The 24,258-nt window shown below is 50.4% G+C and overlaps 1 protein-coding gene across 3 annotated transcripts in view, besides 4 other annotated features; it reads right to left on the bottom strand.

The window, feature by feature from the left end:
- The window catches only part of PRPF6 (pre-mRNA processing factor 6), a 51,969-nt gene that overhangs the window by 10,479 nt on the left and 17,232 nt on the right, over positions 1–24,258 (bottom strand). For 2 of the 3 annotated variants that reach the window (XR_007067448.1, NM_012469.4), the window contains exons 7-12: positions 23,483–23,577; positions 22,863–23,019; positions 21,383–21,545; positions 12,304–12,422; positions 11,119–11,337; positions 5,777–5,899 (exon numbers count right to left, since the gene is read on the bottom strand). Coding sequence is in view for 2 of the 3 variants with exons in the window: in NM_012469.4 (NP_036601.2) it covers positions 5,777–5,899; positions 11,119–11,337; positions 12,304–12,422; positions 21,383–21,545; positions 22,863–23,019; positions 23,483–23,577 (876 nt within the window). In the remaining variant the exon portion in view is untranslated. The remainder of the gene's footprint in view (positions 1–5,776; positions 5,900–11,118; positions 11,338–12,303; positions 12,423–21,382; positions 21,546–22,862; positions 23,020–23,482; positions 23,578–24,258) is intronic. The other variant, XM_006723769.4, reaches the window with a different exon arrangement.
- Positions 4,724–5,923: an enhancer, noted in NCBI's record as "P300/CBP strongly-dependent group 1 enhancer chr20:62648052-62649251 (GRCh37/hg19 assembly coordinates)". NCBI's record gives its function as "activates an origin of replication core promoter dependent on BRD2, BRD4, P300/CBP, MED14 and CDK7 cofactors, with strong dependence on P300/CBP, by STARR-seq in HCT116 cells {active_cell/tissue: HCT116}" and the evidence as "EXISTENCE:reporter gene assay evidence [ECO:0000049][PMID:35650434]".
- Positions 9,981–11,180: an enhancer, noted in NCBI's record as "BRD4-independent group 4 enhancer chr20:62642795-62643994 (GRCh37/hg19 assembly coordinates)". NCBI's record gives its function as "activates an origin of replication core promoter dependent on BRD2, P300/CBP, MED14 and CDK7 cofactors, and independent of BRD4, by STARR-seq in HCT116 cells {active_cell/tissue: HCT116}" and the evidence as "EXISTENCE:reporter gene assay evidence [ECO:0000049][PMID:35650434]".
- Positions 17,356–17,528: a silencer, noted in NCBI's record as "fragment chr20:62636447-62636619 (GRCh37/hg19 assembly coordinates)". NCBI's record gives its function as "represses an EF-1alpha promoter that drives an FKBP-Casp9 reporter gene in an ReSE screen in phorbol 12-myristate 13-acetate-treated (for megakaryocytic differentiation) K562 erythroleukemia cells {active_cell/tissue: K562(+PMA)}" and the evidence as "EXISTENCE:reporter gene assay evidence [ECO:0000049][PMID:32094911]".
- Positions 22,469–22,971: an enhancer, noted in NCBI's record as "H3K27ac-H3K4me1 hESC enhancer chr20:62631004-62631506 (GRCh37/hg19 assembly coordinates)". NCBI's record gives its function as "activates a minimal SCP1, AML or CMV promoter by ChIP-STARR-seq in primed H9 embryonic stem cells {active_cell/tissue: H9 hESC(primed)}" and the evidence as "EXISTENCE:reporter gene assay evidence [ECO:0000049][PMID:30033119]".

The raw sequence follows: 24,258 nt of genomic DNA, 5'->3' as shown, positions 1-24,258 counted from the left end.
AGAACCACAATCCAGGCCAGGTGCGGTGGCTCACGCCTGTAATCTCAGCACTTTGGGAGGCCGAGGCGGGTGGATCATCTGAAGTCAGGAGTTCGAGACCAGCCTAACTTACATAGTGAAAACCTATCTCTACTAAAAATACAAAAATTAACCAGACGTGGTGGCATGCGCCTGTAATCCCGGCTATTCGGCAGTCTGAGGCAGGAGATTCACTTGAACCCAGAAGGCAAAGGTTGCAGTGAGCCGAGATCACGCCACTGCACTCCAGCCTGGGCGACAGAGTCACACTCTGTCCTCCCCCTCCAGAAAGAAAGTAGAACCACAATCCAGGACTGGGAAACCTACTTCTGGGCACAGAAAACACTGTAGTTCTTACTCCAGCATTACAAGCACTTTGAAAAACAGCTGTGCTTACTCCAGTGTACATGAAAGAGACAAGCCTGAGGATGAGGACAAGAAACAAGAACACTGAAAAAGGGGCACATGGGGCTGCTTGCTGCTTCCTTGGCCTGCGAGAGGTGCACAAGTCACTAGCTGCAGGTGATGGAGGTGTGCACACACATGCACACACAGGGCTGTGGCTGAGGCATATGCATACGTGCATGCACACACACACACACACACACACACACAGGGCTGTGGCCGAGGCATATGCATACGTGCACACACACACACACGCACACACACGGCTGTGGCTGAGGCATATGCATACGTGCACACACACACACACACAGACACGGGGCTGTGGCCGAGGCACATGCATACATGCACGCATACACACGCACACACACAGGGCTGTGGCCGAGGCATATGCATACGTGCACGCATACACACGCACACACACAGGGCTGTGGCCGAGGCATATGCATACGTGCACACACACACACGCACACACACGGGGCTGTGGCTGAGGCATATGCATACGTGCACACACACGCACACACAGACACGGGGCTGTGGCTGAGGCATATGCATATGTGCACGCACACACACAAACACACGCACACACAGACATGGGGCTGTGGCTGAGGCATATGCATATGTGCACACACACACACAGACACACACACACAGACACGGGGCTGTGGCTGAGGCATATGCATACATGCACACACACAGACACAGGGCTGTGGCTGAGGCATACGCATACATGCACACACATGCACGGGGGCTGTGGCCGAGGAATATGCATACGTGCACACACACGCACACACAGACACAGGGCTGTGGCTCAGGCATATACATACATGCACACACATGCACACGCACACACACACAGACACACGGCTGTGGCTGAGGCATATGCATACATGCACACACACACACACACACGCACGGGGCTGTGGCCAAGGCATAGGCATACGTGCACGCACACACGCACACACAGACATGGGGCTGTGGCCGAGCCATATGCACATACAAGTGCACACACACACAGAGGGCTGTGGCCCAGGCATATGTACGTGTACACACACACACACATGCTGTAACTGCAGATCAAACATATTGGTTTCTTTTTTAAAAATCAGGTATAGTGGCTACAGCGGTGGCTCACGCCTGTAATTCCAGCACCCTGGGAGGCCAAGCTGGGTGGATCACCTGAAGTCAGGAGTTTGAGATCAGCCTGACCAACATGGTAAAACCCTGTCTCTACTAAAAATACAAAAACTAGCTGGGCATGGTAGTGCATGGCTGTAATCCCAGCTACTTGGGAGGCTGAGGCATGAAAATTGCTTGAACCCAGGAGGCGGAGGTTGCAGGGTGCCAAGATTGCGCCATTGCGCTCCAGCCTGGGCGACAGAGAGAGACCTTGTCTCAAAAAAAAAAAAAAAAAAATTAGGTATAGTATATATTTACCACGATAAAAAGTTACATTAATTAGAAACCTGTAAAAGACAAGTGAATACAAACAGGAAAAAACCCATCCACTCAACAGAACTACAGTAAACACAGTTCTATTTTCTTCAGGCTTTTTTTTCCCTATACTCAAGAATGACTTTATCTTTTGGTTAGCATCAACAACAAAAGAAAACAAAAAAGCCAGTCACCATTTGCAGCGCTAAAGCCTCTGGGGGTTCGTCTGACTGGCGATCATGACACCTGGAGACTCACTGGGCCAGGTTCAGACACCTGTTCCCACTCAGCCTCACACAGGGGCAAGTCACCGTCCTCTGCGCCCTGCAGATGCTGAAAGGATTTTTTTTTAAAGACAGAGTCTCGCTTTGTCACCCAGGCTGGAGTGCAGTGGCGCGATCTCAGCTCCCTGAAACCTCCACCTCCCAGGTTCAAGCAGTTCTCCTGCCTCAGCCTCCCAAGTAGCTGGGATTACAAGCGCCTGCCACCACACCCAGCTAATTTCTGTATTTTTAGTAGAGACGAGGTTTCACCATGTTGGCCAGGCTGGTCTCGAACTCCTGACCTCAAGTGATCCACCCACCTCGGCCTCCCAAAAGTGCTGGGATTCCAGGCATGAGCCACTGCGCCCGGCCGCTGAAAGGATTCTTGTACCAAGAAGGAGTTTGTTGCTGAAGGTAAGTGAGAGGCCACCAGGAAGTGGGTCAGGAACAAAGTTTTGCAACTATGAACATGACAATGGCAAAGATCTGGACTGGCAGCTCAAAGCTGTCCAAGTCCCCACACAGGGGCACCCAAGAACAGTTCCCAGAGGAACAGCTGCCTTCTACGAGAGGAAGGGACAACAGTGAGCCTCCCAGTTAAGGAGCCCCAGCATGAAAATGGGTCAGGAGGACGAGGAGTGGGGATGTCACTGAGATTTCTTCACTCAGACCTGATGCCTCCCAAGTCACATGGCTTCAGTCTGACTCAACCAGCACAGAAACCAGCAAGGGCCCTGCCTCAGGCACTGTGTCCTGACCAGGAGCATCTGAGGGGGTCAGGGAGGATGCCGGTGAGGGTCAGGCCCTGGATAGAGCACTCTGGTCTATGCCCCTCTCTGTGATTTCTGATCCAAGTCCTGAGGGTTGGTGACAAAGCATTTCAGATTCTCCATCGCCTCCTTGGACCTTCACAAGCAACCCGAGAGTGGCCTGAACACCCACAGGATCAAGTGATGCTGTGCCCAGGGCCCTGGTGTCCGGGAGGGAAGCAGCACCACAGCACACTTCTGGGCACAGAAAACACTGTCCTCCTTACTCTAGCATCACGAGCACTTTGAAAAACAGCTGTGCTTACTCCAGTGTATGTGAAAGAGATGACAAAATAATAAGAGAAAAACAGGCCAGGAGCAGTGGCTCTGGGAGGCTGAGGCAGGTGGATGGCCTGAAGTCAGGAGTTCGAGACCAGCCTGGCCAACATGGCGAAACCTCATCTCTATAAAAAATATAAAAATTAGCCAGGTGTGGTGGCAGGCACCTGTAGTCCCAGCTACTCAGGAGGCTGAGGCAGGAGAATTGCTTGAACCCTTGAACCTGGGAGGCGGAGGTTGCAGTGAGCCAAGATCGTGCCACTGGACTCCATCCAGCCTAGGAGACAGAGTGAGACTCTGTCCCAAAAAAAAAAAAAAAAAAAACCAACAACAAAAACTATTACCGCTGCCCTGCGTCTTAACTCACCTAAGGATTGATGTGTGTATTTTAGCATACATGGGGCAGGAGGATGGCCCAGCCGGCACACAAGCTCTGGGTCACGCCACACGGGGTGCAAAAGAATCATGTGTGTATCACACGGTCAATGCCAGCAGTGGGGTCTGATTCCAAGGACCAAAGGAGGAGCCATTGACCAATCCAGATGGAAGGAAGTGAACGCACACGGATGAAGGAGAAAGTGAAGCTCTTCGTTACTGTAGAATTCCAACTAATAAAATGTAAGAGAAACTGTTCACAAAATCATTATGCAGGTGTGACCAGGCACAGTGACACGCCTGTAATCCTACATACTTTGGGAGGCTGAGGTGGGATCACTTGAGGCCAGGAGTTCGAAACCAGCCTGGACAACATAGTGAGATACTGTTTCTACAAAAAAAATTTAATATATAAAAAAAGATTTAAAAAAAATCACCATTTAGCAAACACCACAGAAATAACTGATTCAGGCCAAGAAGCATCATTAATGGATCCTCAAAATACTTATTAATAATAACAAAGAAACAAACAGCAACCATACAGTGGAAACACCTGCGGCCACTGCCCGCACCAGACGGTCGGAGTTGAACAGGTGCACACCTCTCCGTATGATGCACCAAGAAGCCTCAACCCAACCCGGAGGAGACACCACAGAGAACCAGATGAAAGAGGAGTCTACAGCATCACTGGCCCGTGGTCCTCAAAAAATTCACACTCAGGAACAACAAAGGCTGAGGCTCTCTTCCAGACTAGCCTGAGGATGACCCTGTATTCCTCACAGAAGACAGTTGGTTTTTTCTTCTGCTAAAAGGACACAGAGACAACGGGTGAGACTTTTTCTTTTTTTGAGATAGGGTCTTGCTGTCACTCAGGCTGAAGTGCAGTGGCGCAATCACAGCTCACTACGGCCCCAAACTCCTGAGCTCAAGTGATCCTCCCACCTCAGCCTCCTGAGTAGCTGGGACTACAAGCGTGCACCACCATGCCTGGCTTTTGTTTCTGTAAAGATGGTGTTCTGCCATGTTGCCCAGGCTGGTTTCAAACTCCCGAGCTCAAGCGATCTGCCCATCTCGGCCTCCCAAAGTGCTGGAATTACAGGCGTCAGCCCCATGCCCAGCCTGTGGGTGAGATTTGAGTAAGGTCTGAAGTTACCTGACAGCACTGTCCCAACATCAATGTCCTGATTTTGATAACTGAGCTATGGCTGTGTAAGAGAACGTCCTCTTTTAAAGAAATACACACCAAAGTGTTTAAGGTAAAGGGCACCACATCTGCAACTCATTCATTGTCAAACAGTTCCAGAAAAAAAAATAAGAGGTAAGTGCATGAGAGCGAACAGAGTAAGAAAGCAAATCTGCGGCCAGGCGTGGCGCCTCACGCCTGTGATCCCAGCACTCTGGGAGGCCGGGCGCGGCGGCTCATGCCTGTGATCCCAGCACCGTGGGAGGCCGGGCGCGGCAGCTCACGCCTGTGATCCCAGCACCGTGGGAGGCCGGGCGCGGCGGCTCACGCCTGTGATCCCAGCACTCTGGGAGGCCGGGCGCGGCGGCTCACGCCTGTGATCCCAGCACTCTGGGAGGCCGGGCAGGGCGGCTCACGCCTGTGATCCCAGCACTCTGGGAGGCCGGGCGCGGCGGCTCACGCCTGTGATCCCAGCACTCTGGGAGGCCGGGCGCGGTGGCTCACGCCTGTGATCCCAGCACTCTGGGAGGCCGGGCGCGGTGGCTCACGCCTGTGATCCCAGCACTTTGGGAGGCCAGGCATGGCGGCTCACGCCTGTGATCCCAGCACTCTGGGAGGCCGGGCGCGGTGGCTCACGCCTGTGATCCCAGCACTTTGGGAAGCCAAGGCGGGGTGGATCACGAGGTCAGGAGATTAAGACCATCCTGGCTAACACGGTGAAACCCCGTCTCTACTAAAAATACAAAAAATTAGCTGGGCGTGGTGGCACATGCCTGTAGTCCCAGCTACTCGGGAGGCTGAGGCAGGAGAATGGCGTGAACCCAGGAGGTGGAGGTTGTAGTGAGCTGAGATAGCGCCACTGCACTCCAGCCTGGGCGACAGAGCAAGACCCCGTCTCAGATTTAAAAAAAAAAAAAAAGAGTTTTAAAATAGCCTAGTAGTTTATAAGGTGCCTGCTGTTCCCACAAGCAGAGACTCCATATTACGGACAAAGGCCCCTGTTGCCAACTCACACTGTCAGCATCCTCCATCCAGGTATGCTTCCGATCTTCCTCCTCAATCCCAATCCCAATCACGGCACGCATGACGGCCTGGCAGGTGGCCACACTCCCAGCCCTGTCACATTCCTCGGCATCCTGAAAGAGGAACACAAAACTTATTTGTGATTTTGGAAATCAGAGCTGCAGATTCCCAACGGGGAGTACGGAGTTCCTGAACGGTTAAAACTGACAGACATCAGCACAAGATGCTGACACTGCCTACTGGGGATCTGAGGAAGTGAGTCTACTGCACGCCAATCAGAAAAAACAATAGAGAAATGTCACAAAGGACATAGGCACACTGTTCACTAGAAAATAAAAATACAAACAACTTTCAAACATGTGAAAAGAAATGTAAAGCCTTTTTATTTTATTTTTTTAAGAGACAAGGTCTCAGCCAGGTGTGGGGGCTCACACCTGTAATCCCAGCACTTTGGGAGGTCGAGGGTGGATCACGTGGTCAGGAGTTCGAGACCAGCCTGGCCAACCTGGTGAAACCCTGTCTCTACTAAAAAATAAAATACAAAAATTAGCCAGGCGTGGTGGTGGGTGCCCGTAATCCCAGCTTACTCGGGAGGCCGAGGCAGGAGAATCACTTGAACCCGGGAGGCGGAGGTTGCAGTAAGCCAAGATCACGCCACTCCACTCCAGCCTGGGCAACGGAGCAAGACTACGTCTCAGAAAAAAAAAAAAAAGAGAGAGAGTCAAGGTCTCTCCCTGTCACTCAGGCTGAAGTGCTGTGGTACAATCATAGTTCACTGCAGCTTCCAACTCCCAGGCTCAAGGGATACTCTCACCTCAGCCTCCCGAGTAGCACAGACATGCACCACCATGCTCAATGGTACATTATGTTTCATAGATACAGGGTCTCCTTATGTTGCCTAGGCTGGTGTTAAACTCCTGGTCTCAAGTAACCCTCCTGCTTTAGCCTCCCAAAGTGCTGGGATTAGTGCATAAGCCACCACACCCAGCCCCTATTCTTATTTTCAAGATGCTAATTAAACTATTCTAAGTACCATTGTGCACGTATCAGATGAGCAACATTGAAACATGTGCTGACTGGCTCACTTGGTGAAGGGGGCATAAATCTTATACTGCAAAGAAGCACATATCTCTATGGAGGGCAATTTCTCATTCTCTATCAAAATAAAACAGGCACATATTTGACCCAGCAGTTCTACTTTAAGGCATTCATGTGACAAATATATTCCCATGTGTGCAAGAGAATGTGTCTACCAACAAGAGAACAATAACCCAGCCAGAGCAACAGGGTGCAGGAGCACAGGCACCACTGCGGCATGCCAACATGGGGGACCACGACATGGACCGTGAGCAAAGTGCAACCGGAGCCACATGCCTCCCAGACCCTCCCAGGGCCCTGCCAGCACCAGAAAACCATCCCAGACAGAAAGCAGAGCCAAGAGCAAGGATCTGAGGCAGAGACGCTGGCACAAAGGTCAGTGGTGAGAAGAATGCGTGGGGCAAGGACCCAGCACCCAGACCCTCAGGGGCCTGCGGCAAAGGTGCTGGCTCTTCCTCCATGGACAGTTTCTACTGAACGCAAACTGCGCTGGCTCTTCCTCCATGGACAGTTTCTACTGAATGCAAACTGCTTTTGAACCACGGCAAAAGTCAAACCATGGGAAGTCAGGGACCATCTGTAGTTGCAAATCATGTCTCTGATAAGTGACAATATATCCAGAATATATAAAAACATCTCTTACAACTCAATAATAAAACAACAGACAAAAATAATACATAGACCATAATAAAGACACAATCCAATGTAAAAGTAGGCAAAGGATTTCAATACCTCCATGCTACAACATGGAGGAACCCTGAAAACACACTAAGTTAAGGCCAGTCACAAAAGACCACGTGTCGTGTGATTCCACTCACGGTGTCGGACGATGCAAAAGCCACCACGCTCAGTAGAAGCAATACTTTGACTCAAACCACCAGTCTGTTTTTCACTTTCATCGTAGCATTCAATAAATTACGTGAGTTATTCAACACTTTACGTTCGATGACTCTGCCCAACTGTAGGCTAAGGTAGGTGTTCTGAGCATGTTTGACGTAGGCAGGCTAAGCTGTAAAGTTCAGTAGGTTAGGTGTATCACACGCATTTTATTTCATTTTATTTTATTTTATTTATTTTTTGAGACAGAGTCTCGCTCTTTTGCCCAGGCTGGAGTACAGTGTCACGATCTCGGCTCACTGCAACCTCTGCCTCCGCCAGGTTCAAGCAATTCTCCTGCCTCAGCCTCCCGAGTAGCTGGAATTATAGGTGCCCACCATCATGCCTGGCTAATTTTTTTGTATCTTTAGTAGAGACAGGGTTTTACCATGTTGGCCAGGCTGGTCTCAAACTCCTGACCTCAAGTGATCCACCCGCCTCAGCCCCGCAATGTGCTGAGATTATAGGTGTGAGCCACAGCACCCAGCCTCAAATCCATTTTAGACTTATGATATTTTCAACTTACAATGGGTTTATCAGGATATAAGCCCATAAGTTGAACATCTGTATATAAAATGTCCAGAAAAAAATGTGTAGAGAAAGAAAGTAAAAAAACAAGGTTAGACAGGCACGGTGGCTCACGCTTGTAATCCCAGCACTCTGGGAGGCCGAGGCAGGTGGATCATCTGAGCTCAGGAGTTTGAGACCAGCCTGAACAACATGGCAAAACCGCGTCTCTACAAAAAATAGAAAAAAATTAGCCAGGTGTGGTGGCGCATGCCTGTAGTCCCAGCTACTCAGGAGGCTGAGGCAGGAGAATTGCTTGAGCCCAGGAAGCAAATGTGGCAGAGAGCCAAGATTGATTGCACCATACACTCCAGCTTGGGAGACAGAGACCCACCCTGTCTCAAAAAAAAAACAAAAACAAAAACAAAAGGCTACAGAGGTATGAAAATGGGGAGCAACAACTCACGGACACAGGATTTCTTTCTGGGGTGATGAGAAGGTTCTAGGATTGTGGTGATAGCGCATAGCTCTGTGAATATACTAAAACCACTGAATCGTAAACTTTAAATGGGTGGATTCTGTAGAACGCTAGTTATAGCTTAATAACCTGTCATATGCTGGGTATGGCAGCTGATGCCTGTAATCTCAACACTTTGGGAGGCTGAAGTGGCAGGATTGCTTAAGGCCAGGAGTTTAAGACCAGCCTGGGCAGCATAACAAGACAAAAAATAAAAATAAAAAAAATTGGCCAAGCATGGTGGCACACGCCTGTAGTCCCAGCCACTTGGGAGGTTAAGGCGGGAGGATTGCTTGAGCCCAGGTCAAGGATGCAGTGAGCCATGACTGCACCACTGCACTCCGGCCTGAGCAACACGGCGAGACCCTGTCTCAAGAAAGAAAGAAGGAAAGAAAGAAAGAAGAAGAAAGGAAGGAAGGAAAGAAAGACAAACTGTCATAAAATATAACAGAAAATAGTAATTTCATTATTTATTTTTCTTGAGAGAAACATAACTCAGTGGGTGACTCCTTAAAAGAAGGCATTAGAGGGAACCCAAGCCCTACTTCCTAAGTTAGATCATCTTTGGAAACTTTTCTATAGCCTTAAGTCTACAGACAAAGATAAAAGACAGGGAAGACCAAGGCGGGCAGGTTGCTTGAGGTCAGGAGTTCGAGACCAACCTGGCCAACATGGTGAAACTCTGTCTCTTCTAAAAATACAAAAATTAGCTGGGTATGGTGGCGGGTGCCTGTAATCCCAGCTACTCAGGTGACTGACGTAGGAGAACTGCTTGAACCCAAGAGGTGGAGGTTGCAGTAAGCCAAGATCGTGCCACTGCACTCTAGCCCTCTAGCCTGGGTGACAGAAAGACTCCCTCTCAAAAAAAAAAAAAAAAAAAGGGTGTGGGGGAGAGGGGAAGAGTAAAAGAAGCCATGAGACTTCCTGTCCTCCTCTCGTAGGTGTATCATTTCTACTAGCAAAGAAAGAAGCCATGAGACTTCCTGTCCTCCTCTCGTAGGTGTATCATTTCTACTAGCAAAGAAAGAAGCCGTGAGACTTCCTGTCCTCCTCTCGTAGGTGTATCATTTCTACTAGCAAAGAAAGAAGCCGTGAGACTTCCTGTCCTCCTCTCGTAGGTGTATCATTTCTACTAGCAAAGAAAGAAGCCGTGAGACTTCCTGTCCTCCTCTCGTAGGTGTATCATTTCTACTAGCAAAGAAAGAAGCCGTGAGACTTCCTGTCCTCCTCTCGTAGGTGTATCATTTCTACTAGCAAAGAAAGCCGTGAGACTTCCTGTCCTCCTCTCGTAGGTGTATCATTTCTACTAGCAAAGAAAGAAGCCGTGAGACTTCCTGTCCTCCTCTCGTAGGTGTATCATTTCTACTAGCAAAGAAAGAAGCCGTGAGACTTCCTGTCCTCCTCTCGTAGGTGTATCATTTCTACTAGCAAAGAAAGAAGCCGTGAGACTTCCTGTCCTCCTCTCGTAGGTGTATCATTTCTACTAGCAAAGAAAGAAGCCGTGAGACTTCCTGTCCTCCTCTCGTAGGTGTATCATTTCTACTAGCAAAGAAAGAAGCCGTGAGACTTCCTGTCCTCCTCTCGTAGGTGTATCATTTCTACTAGCAAAGAAAGAAGCCGTGAGACTTCCTGTCCTCCTCTCGTAGGTGTATCATTTCTACTAGCAAAGAAAGAAGCCGTGAGACTTCCTGTCCTCCTCTCGTAGGTGTATCATTTCTACTAGCAAAGAAAGAAGCCGTGAGACTTCCTGTCCTCCTCTCGTAGGTGTATCATTTCTACTAGCAAAGAAAGAAGCCGTGAGACTTCCTGTCCTCCTCTCGTAGGTGTATCATTTCTACTAGCAAAGAAAGAAGCCGTGAGACTTCCTGTCCTCCTCTCGTAGGTGTATCATTTCTACTAGCAAAGAAAGAAGCCGTGAGACTTCCTGTCCTCCTCTCGTAGGTGTATCATTTCTACTAGCAAAGAAAGAAGCCGTGAGACTTCCTGTCCTCCTCTCGTAGGTGTATCATTTCTACTAGCAAAGAAAGAAGCCATGAGACTTCCTGTCCTCCTCTCGTAGGTGTATCATTTCTACTAGCAAAGAAATGCAGTCAGGTGTGCACACACTGAAAGGGCTTCTGAAGTGTTCACCCCAAGACGAACTCCAGGCCTGAATCCATCAAGAGCGACAGTGGGCATGCCCAGGTCCCTCAGGGCCCATTCACACCTGTGCCTGCTTCTGGTTTGGCACAGGACTCCCCAGTACCATCCAGCAACCCCCAGTCCTGCGTGGGACTCTCACGTGCTGCATGTGCACTGTTAAAGCAGACACCACGACACCCGCCTGCGGCCCACCTGGATCCACTGCTCACGGTTGATCTCCACACCGTTGGCCCGCAGCGAGGTGATGGCTCGGTCGATGATCTTCTCCACCATCTGCGTGTTCCCATTGGCTTCCTCCAGCTTAGCAGCCGTGATCCAGATATGTCGGTCTGTAGGAATGTTCTCCCGCGCCTTGTTCAAGACCTTGCGGGCATTTTCATAGGTCTCCAGCCTTGCCAGAGCAAGCCAGAGCTACGCGGAGAGGACACGAGAAAAAGGAGAGGACACTGTGCTGGGGGGACAGCTGCAGGCCAGACAGCGACCCACCCTCCAGCGTTGGCCACCACGTTCTTTCTTAGCTCTCGAGAACCATCTGAACATGGCCTGAGAAGTGTCCACAGCAGCACTTCTCACCTGACCAACTGTTCCTTTATGCTTCTGACTCATTTAGTGACTCTCGTGAGCATCAAAAGATTCTCAGTTGAATGTTCACAAACACAGCCTCCAGGCACACAGCACGCCAGACCTGATACCAGGGGCTGGCACAGACGAGCAGGATGAGGCTACTGCCCTCACAGGCTAAACACACAGAAGGGTGTTCAGCCTCCTGAAGTTCCCAGACCCTTGGTTCTGCAGCATTCCATCCCTAAGATGTGTACGGGCTTTATTCATTTTTATGTAAATAAAATAAGATTAATGTTGTTTGGAGAATTTCACAATACCCCTTAGGATAATTAAAGACATACTAGGTATCATAAAACCAAGACTAAAAATCACTGCACAGAATGCTGTGAACTGGAATGCTTAAAACCAAAGAAATCCCACTTAGCTTAGAGGCAAAGAGCAGTCATGCGGAGCTGACAGAAAGCAATGTTTTCTATCACGCTGCCACCTTCGGCTCCCATGACAAACTCTGGGCTGCTGAGAGGAAATGGCCCCTGAGCAACTGCCCAACAGAGAATTTTCTGCAGTGGTCAGGTATGAGCTAAGATTCTCCCTGCACGTCCATTAAGAGCACAGCTAGCTGAGGCCACTGACCACCCTGCCTAGCGGCTATGTACAGAACGGCATCCTGGGGTTCCACAGGGCCTTCTGCTCCCAGAAATTGCAGCCTGAGTGAGCTCAATGCTCCACTTGTATCATCACTTCCAGACACTGAACCTGGGCTCAGGCCTTGGCCACTTTGGGCTCTGGTGGCCCTGAGCCCGCCAGACTCACCTCCACGCTGGTGGGGCAGCACTCCACAGCTCGGCTCAGCATGATTCTAGCATCTTCAGGTTCTTCCAGCTCAACGGCTGCTTTCCACAAGCGAACCGAGTTTGGAACATGCTCGAGGGCTAGGAAAGGTCAAACGAGAAACCACGTCACAGAAAAGGAGATAAAAACAGGAGGCTCATGTGGTGAGCATGCTGCTGGTCAGGATGAGACGGACTTCCCTGGTTGACAGTCAGGGACCACACACCTGCCCTTTATGTGGCTTCCTTCAGGTCTGGGGCAGACACAAACAAGGACAAACGGAGCATCTTGTGGTAGCAGAAAGCAAGGAAGTGACTGAAGACTGCCAGGGTCATATCAACAGGACTCAGGAAACCAGTGACCACGGGAATGAACCTCAAAAACATGCTGAACAAAAGAAACCAGTCCCAAAACAGTTTATACTATATGACTCCCTTTATGTGACGTCTGAAAAGAGGCAAAACTAATCTTGGTAAAATAAGTCAGAAGCATGACTGCCAACGAATGGGGATAGTATGGATTGATTGAGAGGCACCAGGGGACTTTCTGCGGGGATGGAAATGTTTTTGTTTTTGTTTTGAGACAGAGTCTCATTCTATTGCCCAGGCTGGAGTACAATGGCACGATCTCAGCTGACTGCTACCTCCGCTTCCTGGGTTCAGAGATTCTCCTGTCTCAGCCTCTAAGGTAGCTGGGACTACAGGTGCGCACCACCACGCCTGGCTAATTTTTGTATTTTTAGTAGGGACGGGGTTTCACCATATTGGCCAGGCTGGTCTCAAACTCCTGATCTCAAGTGATCCGCCCGCTTCGGCTTCCCAAAGTGCTGGGATTATGGGCGTCAGCCACGGTGCCCACCCTGGAAATGCTCTATGCCTTGGTCGAGTGTGGGTTACAGGGGTGCATGCACTTGTGAAGACATCAAACTGCACACTTAAGATCTACGTAATTCACTTCAAATATTTACGAAAAAATGCCAGTGTCTGAAATACCTCTCTTTTTTTTTTTTTTTTTTTTTTTTGCGATGGAGTCTCGCTCTGTCGCCAGGCTGGAGTGCAGTGGCGTGATCTCGGCTCACTGCAACCTCTGCCACCCGGGTTCAAGCGATTCTCCTGCCTCAGCCTCCCAAGTAGCTGAGTACAGGCGTGCAGCCACCATACCCAGCTAATTTTTGAAATTTTAGCAGAGACAGGGTTTCACCATGTTGGCTAGGATGGTTTGATCTCTTGACCACATGATCCGCCCGCCTCGGCCTCCCGAAGTGCTGGGATTACAGGCATGAGCCACCACGCCCGACCTAAAATACCTCATTATTACATGTTTTCCCTTAAATAAAAATACCTAAAACTTAAAAAAAATTCAAGAGCAAACTAGAAGAGACTTCCACTGGACAATGATCAGAGAGTCTGAAGGTCAATAAGCATATTAAGAATATTACCTGCAATGTATTCAAACCCATGAAATACCACAGCATTCAATAGTTCATAACAAAGCTCCAAGAGACCATTAGTCACCTTTGGAGAATGCTAGAGAATCAACGCATCATCCCGAAAGTTGAAAGGAAGCAAATCAAATATCTATTCTGTCTTTCCCAAATAAACTCAGAATAACCAAATCATGGATATAGGAAAATTCTTCTCTTAAGAATAATTCTGGCAATAAAAGCAAAGAGTGACCTAATTATAATGTCACCGTTTTGCACACCCTAATGAAGGAACAGATGCGGGCACGGGTCACCAGCCACTGCCAAAGGCAGGAGCTGAAAGGCTGTGGAGAACTCCATGAAGGACACTGGGGCCACTGAGCAGTGACAGCCTCTGCAGCTCCTGACGCTGCTTGCATTGCCACGAATATTTCCTTGATAAAAAAAGAAAAAAAAAACACAAAGCTTACTCTTATGAGTCTCCAAATCTACCTTCCAATTTACAAGAGGATACAGGAAACAGAGGATACAGGAAACGAGACCCACATGAAACAATCTCACAGGCTGCAGTGAGCAAACCCTGATGTGAGGAATCTCAAGGAAAAACAACCCAATTCCATCAACAAACCGAGAGAAGACATCAACCAAACGGCAATGTTCAGACTTTGCTTAGATCCTGATTCAAACCAACCATGTGTGCATGTGGTTATGCATGCATGTGCCCGTGCAGGTACTGACATGACAGCTGGAAAAATATGAATGCAGTAGACATTTAATGATGTTAAGAAATTAGGCCGGGCCAGGTACAGCCCGTAGCTCACGCCTGTAATCCCAGCACTTTGGGAGGTCGAAGTGGGCAGATCACCTGAGGTCAGGAGTTCGAGACCAGCGTGGCCAACACAGTGAAACCTTGTCTCTACTAAAAATACAAAAATTAGCCAGGTATGGTGGCATGCACCTGTAATCCCAGCTACTGGGGAGGCTGAGGCAGGAGAATCGCTTGAACCCAGAAGGCGCAGGTGCAATAAGCTGAGACTGTGACACTGCACTCTAGCCTGGGTGACAGAGAGAGACTCCAACTCAAAAAAAAGAAAAAGAAATTAGGCCAGGCAGCTGATTGTGGTGGTTCACACCTATAATCCCAGCATTTTGGGAGGCTGAGGTGGGAGGATCGCTTGAGCCCAGGAATTCGAGACTAGCCTGGACAACATGGCGAAACCCTGTCTCTACAAAAAATACAAAAATTAGCTGGGCGTGGTGGCATGTACTTGTGGTTCCAGCTAGCTGGGAGGCAGAGGTGGGAGAATCGCTTGAGCCCAGGAGGTGGAGGTTGCAGTGAGCCAAAACTGCACCACTGAACTCCAGCTCCAGCCTAGGCAAAAGAGGGAGACTCAGTCTCAAAAAAAAAAAAAAGAGGAAAAGGGCAGGGCAGGGGAGGGGAGGCGGGGAGGGAAGCGGAGGCGGGGAGGGGAAGAGGGGACGGGAGGCAGAGGGGAGGGGAGGCGGGGAGGGGAGAGGGCAAGTGAGCTAGCTCTCCTGCAGGTACCTGCTCTCCTGCTGAGAAACAGCCCCAGGCTGGCTGTGAGGCCCTGGCAGGGAATGAACACTCAGCTAAGGGACATAAAATGACTGAGCAACCTGCTGCCCACTCCAGGTGTTACTGACAGACCAAGCCACAAGGTTGGGCAGATGCAGCAGTGGCCTCATAGGGTGGAAATGGCACCCAGGAGATGGTGTGGAAGGAAGGCAGGTGCAGCACAGCTGCCTAAGCTATGGGGCAGATGCCTCCTGCACTGGTGGCTGCTCAACCGCTTTCCTCCCTCAGCCCACACTGACAACCTCTGGGGAGTCCCTTAGGGTCAAGGGACTGAGAAGACAAAAGTCTGCTGTGGTTTACGCATGGTTCTGCACAGCACACTGGCACTGACACCCCTGGCCTTATTATCTGGATGTCCACTTGACCAACTGAAAGACGGCCAGAAGACGAAGCTATATGAATTCACCGATTCAGGCAGAACATGGTCTTACCATGTGCCCATCACTCAGAGCCATGGCCTGGCAGCCCAGTAGGATGCCACAAATGCTGTGAATAGACACCAATCCCGGCTGGATCTCACAGCCAGAACACACGGGTCTAGGAATAAACAGTGATGTCTGAATGGCTCAAGTCCCATCTCCGCTGCCACAAGTCCCGTCTCCACTGCCAAGAGTCCCGTCTCCGCCTCCTTGGACCCTCCTGTCAAGAGAGCTGGTCCAAAGGCCGGGTGTGGTGGCTCACATTTGTAATCCCAGCACTTTGGGAAGCTGAAGCGGGTGGATCATGAGGTCAGGAGTTCGAGACCAGCCTGGCCAACACAGTGAAACCAAACCCCATCTCTATTAAAAATACAAAAATTAGTCGGGTGTGGTGGCAGGTGCCTGTAATCCCATCTACTTGGGAGGCTGAGGCAAGAGAATTCCTTGAACCCAGGAGGCGGAGGTTGCAGTGAGCCGAGATTGCGCCACTGCACTCTAGCCTGGGCAACAGAGCAAGACTCAGTCTCAAAAAAAAAAAAAAAAAAGAGCAAGCTACGAGCTACTCCAAAGGGAGTATGTGCCAACCAGGGTGCAGACCACAGCTCCCTCTGGCCTCCTCATGTACCAGCCCTGGCTGGAGAGGCTAACCCTGACTCCCAAAGCGAGACTGAGTTGCTGCCACCCACTGTGGGAGACTATCTAGAGGCCAGTCCTAAAAACAGTTTAGTATTTCTGCTTTTACCAGTAAAAGTTAATGGGAACTACAGCCACCAAAAAAGCAAAACTACCAACAAGTCAGACCCTTTGGGGATAAAGATATGGGTCCTGGCTGAGCACAGTGGCCCCCATCTGCAGTCCCAGCATTTTGGGAGACTGAGGTGGGAGGATCACTTGAGCCCAGGAGTTTAAAACCAGCCTGGATGACACAGGGAGACCTCGTCTCTTTGAAAAATTAAAAACTCAGCCAGGCATGGTGGTATGTCCCTGGAGTCCCAGCTATTCAGGAAGCTGAGACTGGAGGATAGTTTGAGTCTGGGAGGTTGAGGCTTCAGTGACCCATGATCATGCCACTGCACTCCAGCCTAGGCAACAGAGCAAGATCCTGTCTCAAAATAAAAATTATTTAGGCATGGTAGTATGTACCTATGGTCCCAGCTACTCAAGAGCCAGAAGCAGGAGGATCACTACAGCCCAGGAGGTTGAGGCTGCAGTGAGCTGATTGCAACACTGCTCTCCAGCCTGGGCAATAGGACGAGGCTCTGTCTAAAACAAAAAAAAGATTTGGGTTACTCATCCAGGTCAAGAACCCTGACCAAGCAGGGTGACAGCAGAGGGCACAGCAGTAAAGAAGGAAAGTCCTAACCTCCAACCAGGCGACTAGGCATAGAGAGAAGACACAGAACGACCCAGTTGTTTTTCCTGTGCGCTCTCACCTCGACTGCGTGGGAGATGAGTGCTCTATTTGTCTAAATATGAACTACTTCCCTTAATACTTTGTACATTGGTGGAGATGAACTTCGCGTCTCTAAAGAACAGAATATTCATGCGGGACTCAATTTATGGAGTCATTAACTTACGACTCCCAGGACTCTGTGTCTTCAAGTTTTGGGAGAGAGCTGACATATCTCCATGGCATCTCATCAGCAGCCCACAGGCATGGCACTAAAACCAACAAGGTCACCTTCCCCAGGTGCTTTCGGAAGCCACATGGCACACCATGATACAATGGCCTTCAAGGAGTGTGACTTTATGAGCAGAAGTGGAGGAAGCACACACCCCTGAAGTTGGCCTAGAACAGAAGAGTATTCTGAATGCTAGACACAGCCATGAAGACGTGACCGTGCAGAGGCCAACATGCTCTCCGGGGGTCACGTGACTGCAGGGAAGACCCTCAACCTGAACTGTGCCATTCCTGTGCCCCCAGAGGGACACGCTGGCGACGGCCACTGAAGGATGCCACGCTTCACAGGCCAGAGCATATGGCGTTAGTGTAAAATAACTCCACTTCCACACATCTGCATTAACTAGCGGAGTACACAGCATGTGAGTGCATTATTGTAGGGGAGCTGCCAGTCGGGCCTCCCCAGGGGACTCTGCACGTGGGACACCCCACCCTGGCCAGGAAGCTCACATGCTGCACCCTCCCCAATCCTGAAAGCCCTCTTCCCTTTTACAGAGGAAGACATGGAAGCTCAGAGGCCAAGCACCATGCCTAAGGTTACTCAGCCTCCTCAGGTCTCAAGATCAGCACCCAAAACGCCCATTCTCCCAACAAAGGACTAAGGTGTCAGCTCAGCCCAACAGCGACCCAGAGCTCACAGAGACCATGCACTGCCAGGCTCCCTGGCTGGCAGGTGTCCTAAGTCACCAGTGGAAGTAGCTGTCATCTTAATTTCAAAAACCAGACCCTTCAAGCAACGTGTAAGTGTTTGCTAATAACCAAATGAAGCAGTGCTGGGCTTCACCCCAGGAAAAGAATACAGTTTTTGGAAACACTCTTGGGAAAGGGCAGGCCAGGACCAGTATTAGGGCAGCGGCAAAGGCCATCCTGGAGATCCTGGGTTCATTCCACCTTAGCCCAGCTTCTCTGCCTGAGAGAGCACAGCCAGGAGGCCACTCCCTGAGAGAACAGCCGTGGAAACACAGTCCCTCAACACTCCCCGAAGGCCCCCGCCTCCAACAGCATACTCCCATCTCCAAATCCAAACCAACTGGAAATGAACCCAGACAATCTGGTGGTGAGCAGGGAGTGGCCACAAAGACATTCATGATCATTCATCAAACTGTGGCAGGAAGAATTCAATAGAGCTTTTCTAAGTAAACAATACTAATTACCCAGACTTTCATGGGCTCTTCATCAAAGAACTATTTCTTCCTAGCTGAAAAAAGATAAACTGATTTCTACAAACCCAGACAGGTGCTAACTTTCTGTTCCTGGCCACCTCATTATAAGACGCTGTCTCTGGCCGGGCGCGGTGGCTCACGCCTGTAATCCCAGCACTTTGAGAGGCCGAGGCGGGTGGATCATGAGGTCAGGAGATCAAGACCATCCTGGCTAACATGGTGAAACCCCATCTCTAATAAAAATACAAAAAAAAATTAGCCAGGCCTGGTGGCGGGCGCCTGTAGTCCCAGCTACTTGGGGGGCTGAGGCAGGAGAATGGCGTGAACCTGGGAGGCGGAGCTTGCAGAGAGCCGAGGTCGTGCCACTGCACTCCAGGCTGGGCGACAGAGCGAGACTCTGTCTCAATAAAAAAAAATAAAAGAGGCTGTCTCTGAGCATTCACTGAGCAGCTGGGCTGCGGTCAAGAAACCAGCCTCGACAGAGGAAAGCACGTTCACATGTGAGTGCACAGGGTCGGGGGAACATGCATCACAGGCAAGCAGCCTTCACCTGTCTTCTAACAGACGTAGACAGTAAGTGAATGAAACTATATTTGATAAGGGGCTTTCTACCAAAGAGCCCTCATCTGCACGGTCCTATCAGCACAGAAGCCTCAATGGGATATTTCGCTTAAAGACATTTGGAAAAACAAGAGCTGGAAAGCTCTCACTGAAAACTGCCCTTGATTCCATAAAATACACTTTATTTTTCCTAGGCTATAAATTCAGGAAGAATAGGCTGGATGCGACGGCTGATGCCTGTAATCCCAGCTCTCTGGGAGATCAAGGCAGGAGGATCACTTGAGGATGGGAGTTTGAGACAAGCTTGGACAACACAGCAAGATCCCATCTCTACCAAAAATTAAAAATAGCTGGGCATGGGGGTGGGACCTATACTCCCAGCTACTTGGGAGGCTAAGCTGGGAGGATCGCCTGAGCCTGGGAGGTGGTGGCTGCAGTGAGCCAAGATCGTGCCACTGCACTCCAGCCTGGGTGACAGAGCAAGACGCTGTCTCAAAAAAAAAAAAAAAATCTGGCCGGGCACAGTGGCTCACGCCTGTAATCCCAGCACTTTGGGAGGTCGAGGTGGGTGGATCACTTGAGGTGAGAAGTTCAAGACCAGCCTGGTCAACACAGTGAAACCCCGTCTCTACTAAAAATACAAAAATTAAGCAGGCGTGGTGGCAGGTGCCTGTAGTCCCAGCTCCTCAGAAGGCTGAGGCAAGAGGATTGCTTAAACCCAGGAGGCGGAGGTTGCAGTGAGCCAAGATGGTGCCATTGCACTCCAGCCTGGGGGACAAAGTGAGACTCCATCTCAAAAAAAAAAAAAAAAGAAAAGAAAAGGCCAGGCACAGGGGCTCACGCCTGTAATCCCTGCACTTTGGGAGGCCAAGGCAGGAGGATCACTTGTGGTCAGGAGTTTGAGACCAGCCCGGCCAACATGGGGAAACCCCATCTCTACTAAAAATACAAAAATTGGCCAGGCATGGAGGCGCACACCTGTAATCCCGGCTACTCGGGAGGCTGAGGCAGGAGAATCACTTGAACCCGGGAGGCAGAGGCTGCAGTGAGCCAAGATCGTGCCCCTGTACTCCAGCCTGGGCGACAAAGCGAGACTCTGTCTAAAAAAAAAAAAATGGATAGAAGCCACCTGCATAGGCCAGGTGCAGTGGCTCACGCCTGGAATCCCAGCACTTTGGGAGGCCGAGGCAGGCAGATCACAAGGCCAAGAGATCGAGACCATCCTGGATAACACAGTGAAACCCCATCTCTACTAAAAATACAAAAAGAAATTAGCCAGGCGTGGTGGCAGGCGCCTGTAGTCCCAGCTACTCAGGAGGCTGAGGCAGGAGAATGGTGTGAACCCGGGAGGCGGAGCTTGCAGTGAGCCGAGATCACGCCACTGCACTCCAGCCTGGGCGACAGGGCGAGACTCCATCTCAAAAAAAAAAAAAAAAAAAAAACCAGAAAAAAAAAACAAAAAATGAAAAAAAAGAAGCCACCTGCACAGATTAGCTTCAGAACAGCCCCCTGACTAGCACTCGTTCTGGACCCAGTTCAAGAGCAGCATCTACTACACACTTCCAGTGACAGGAGAAACAGTGCTCCTTTTATGAATCCACAGTAATAAAAATAAACAAACTACCCACAAAAGCTCTACCCTGGCAGGAATCCCTGGATGGAATCAGGTTGCCTGGTAGGCACACCGTCTGTCGTTATCTGACCTGAGCTGACGGCACACGCTGCATCGCGGGAGCAGAAGGCACAGCCTCGTCAGCAGCAGGAAAGAGTTCAATCAACGTGTGGCTCTGGTGCCTTCTCAGGAGAGAAAATGAGTAACACCCACAACGGGTCTGCACGTGCCAGGTGCCGGCTCAGCTCTTCACACAGACCATCTCCAGAGCCCCAGGACACAGGCTTTGAGCTACCGTTGTTCTCACCCTGCAGATGAGGGAAGCCTGGACCAGAGTGACCGCCCAAGCATCCAAGATCACACACTGGAAAAAGGCAGGAGTGAGGGCTCAACCCAAGCATCCCTTCCAGGATGGGAACTTGCCCACCACAGTATCCCTCCCCCATGGGGGTCCAAGGGCAGAGGCAACCCAGCCTGAGAAAAGGCCTGAAAAATGTCCCTGGTTCCTTATCCACTCTCACCAAAAGCCTGAGCCAGGAGCAGGAAAGCTGCTGAGAGGAGGGGCCCCAAGGAGGGAGAAAGCAGCACCTCCGAGGGAGGCTCACCTTTCCGAAGAACCCGCTTCTTTGCACGAATGTCCGTTTCCAGCTCTGCGGCTCTGATGTAAATCCTGACAGACTGTGGGAGATGACGGACAGCTTGGGCTACCACGGCCTTGGCTGTGTCCCCAGGCTGCAACCTGGCTGCTTCCAGCCAGACATCTTCACTCTGTGAGGCAAGAGATAAGACCAATAAGGCTCAGTGCAGGCTGGAAGCCGCAACAGGGCAGCAGGCACAGATCTCCAGAGCAGATCCTCGGGCCCCAGAATTTACGAAAGCCAATTAGCTCAGCCTCTAACACACCTGCACCAGGAGTCGCCCCCTTATAACCACACTTGGGAACATGGCTACCATATGTCTGACTGAAGAACACCTAATGGCCGGGCGCGGTGGCTCACGCCTGTAATCCCAGCCCTTTGGGAGGCCGAGGCAGGTGGATCATGAGGTCAGGAGTTTGAGACCAGCCTGGCCAACATGGCAAAACCCTGTCTCTACTAAAACTACAAAAATTAGCCGGGTGTGGTGGCAGGTGCCTATAATCCCAGGTACTCAGGAGGCTGAGGCAGGAGAATTGCTTGAACCCGGGAGGCAGAGGTTGCAGTGAGCTGAGATCACGCCACTGTACTTCAGCCTGGGCAACAGAGCGAGACTCAAAAAAAAAGAAAAAAAAAAAATGAAACACCACTTTGTGAAAAGAGCATGATTTCCTTCAGGACAACTCCATGGACAAAGCAGAGACTGCACATCTGCTCGGGTCGTTCTTTTTTGTTGTTTTTTTTTTTTTTTTTGAGACGGAATCTCGCTCTGTCGCCCAGGCTGGAGCAGCATGGTGCAATCTCAGCTCACTGCAACCTCCACCTACCGAATAGCTGGGATTATGGGCACCTGTCACGACGCCTGGCTAACTTTCATATTTTTAGTAGAGACGGGGTTTCGCCATGTTGGCCAGGCTGGTTTCTAACTCCTGACCTCAAGTGATCCACCCGCCTCAGCCTCCCAAAGTGCTGGGATTACAGGCGTGAGCCACCGTGACTGGCCACCATTAGGCGGGTGAAGAGCTGACCAACTGAGCTCTTTATAATGAAGCTTAGCCTGCCGTCAAACCAGTGGTGGATTCAGGCGTGGTGGATTCAGGCATGGTGGCGGGCGCCTATAGTGCCAGCTACTCTGGAGGCTGAGACAGGACAATGGTGTGAACCTGGCAGGTGGAGCTTGCGGTGAGCCGAGATCGTGCCACTGCACTCCAGCCTGGGTGACAGAGCGAGACTCCGTCTCCAAAAAAAAAAAAAGTGGTGGATTAGCCTTCACTCCACATGAAAACAAGCAGGAAAAAGCCCTTGGCTGCTTTTCACATCCTCCCCCAGCCTGCCCTATTGTCTGTAGTTTCAATACCAAAAGACAAAGAGATTTGCTCTAACAAGTTTACTCCCGTAGGGGCCACAATCACGCAGCCTCCCAGGAAACGCCTCCCAGGAAATACCTCACCTTGGGGCACATCTCCGTCCCCTTCATGATAAGGTTCCGAGCTACTTGTAGCTTCCCAGTGACTTCTTCCAGGCGGGCTGATGCAATCCAGGCTGGCGGGTGATGAGGGTTCGTCTCCCGAACAGACTTGAGGAGCAGTCGCGCCTTCTTGATATCACTATGAGAGGGAGAGTGCACACGGCATCAGGCCATGCTGTCAGGGGTGCACCCGAGACCTGGGATGAGGGCACCCACTTCACAGTCACAATGTAAGAACTATCAGTCCTGATGTCCTGAGTTACAAAAACCAACTCAAAACCTCAGTGCGCACTATTCCAAGCCTCTGTAGCCTCCCCGCAGACAAACGCTGAGAACCGAAGGTCCAGATGGGACATGTGGGACACAGCCAGCTGCTTTCCTGCCCAGCACAGGCAGGGACTTTGCAGTATCATATGTAACACATTGAGTGTACGCAATGAATGGATACAGATACATTTCAAATGGAAAAAACAAACTACTCCACTTTACATTTCTTAGAACCGCCATGTCCCATTTTGACAGCATACTGTCCATATAAAATCCAAAATACCCTAGGCAACTAGAGTCTCCATCCCAGCCCAGCGATTCTGCAAAGCACTCACTTGATGTCTCCTCCGTGTGTCGGGATCATGGAATTTAAATCCGTCAGGTAGCCTTTGGGGTCAACGACGGTCTGTCCACTCACGGAGTCAGACACCTGTGAGACAGGCCAAGCTAAGAGTCAGCTGGACATGACCAGGTGCAAAACAAAGTTCTCAGAGGGTCCCTGGTGCCCCTCCCACAACCCTGAGAGAGCAGTCAGAAGGAGAAGGAAAACAGCCTTCATTTCACTCAGACAACACCTTGTGATAATAACAAATTTCTTCTGTATGGAAAAAGATCTATTTTTTTTTTTTTTTTGAGATGGAGTCTCGCTCTGTCGCCCAGGCTGGAGTGCAGTTGTGCAATCTCGGCTCACTGCAAGCTCCACCTCCCAGGTTCACGCCATCCTCCTGCCTCAGCCTCCCGAGTGGCTGGGACTACAGGCGCCCGCCACCACACCTGGCTAATTTTTTTGTATTTTTAGTAGAGACGGGGTTTCACCGTGTTAGCCAGGATGGTCTCGATCTCCTGACCTCGTGATCCGCCCGCCTCGGCCTCCCAAAGTGCTGGGATTACAGGCGTGAGCCACCGCGTCTGTCCAAGATCTATATTTTTATTTATTTTTTTGAGACAGGGTCTCACTCTGTCACCCAAGCAGGAGTGCAGTGGCAATCATAGCTCAGTGCAGCCTCCAGCTCCTGGGCTCAAGGAATCCTCCTGCCTCAGCCTCCCAAGATTCTGTCTCTACAAAAAAAAGTGTAATTTTTGACCAGGCGTGGTGGCTCACGCCTGTAAA

This window comes from Homo sapiens, chromosome 20 (genome assembly GCF_000001405.40).
Source record: "Homo sapiens chromosome 20, GRCh38.p14 Primary Assembly".
NCBI classification, from domain to species: Eukaryota; Metazoa; Chordata; class Mammalia; order Primates; family Hominidae; genus Homo; species Homo sapiens.
Note: the sequence above shows the minus strand (reverse complement) of the source record. Positions and strands in the feature narration are given on the sequence as shown.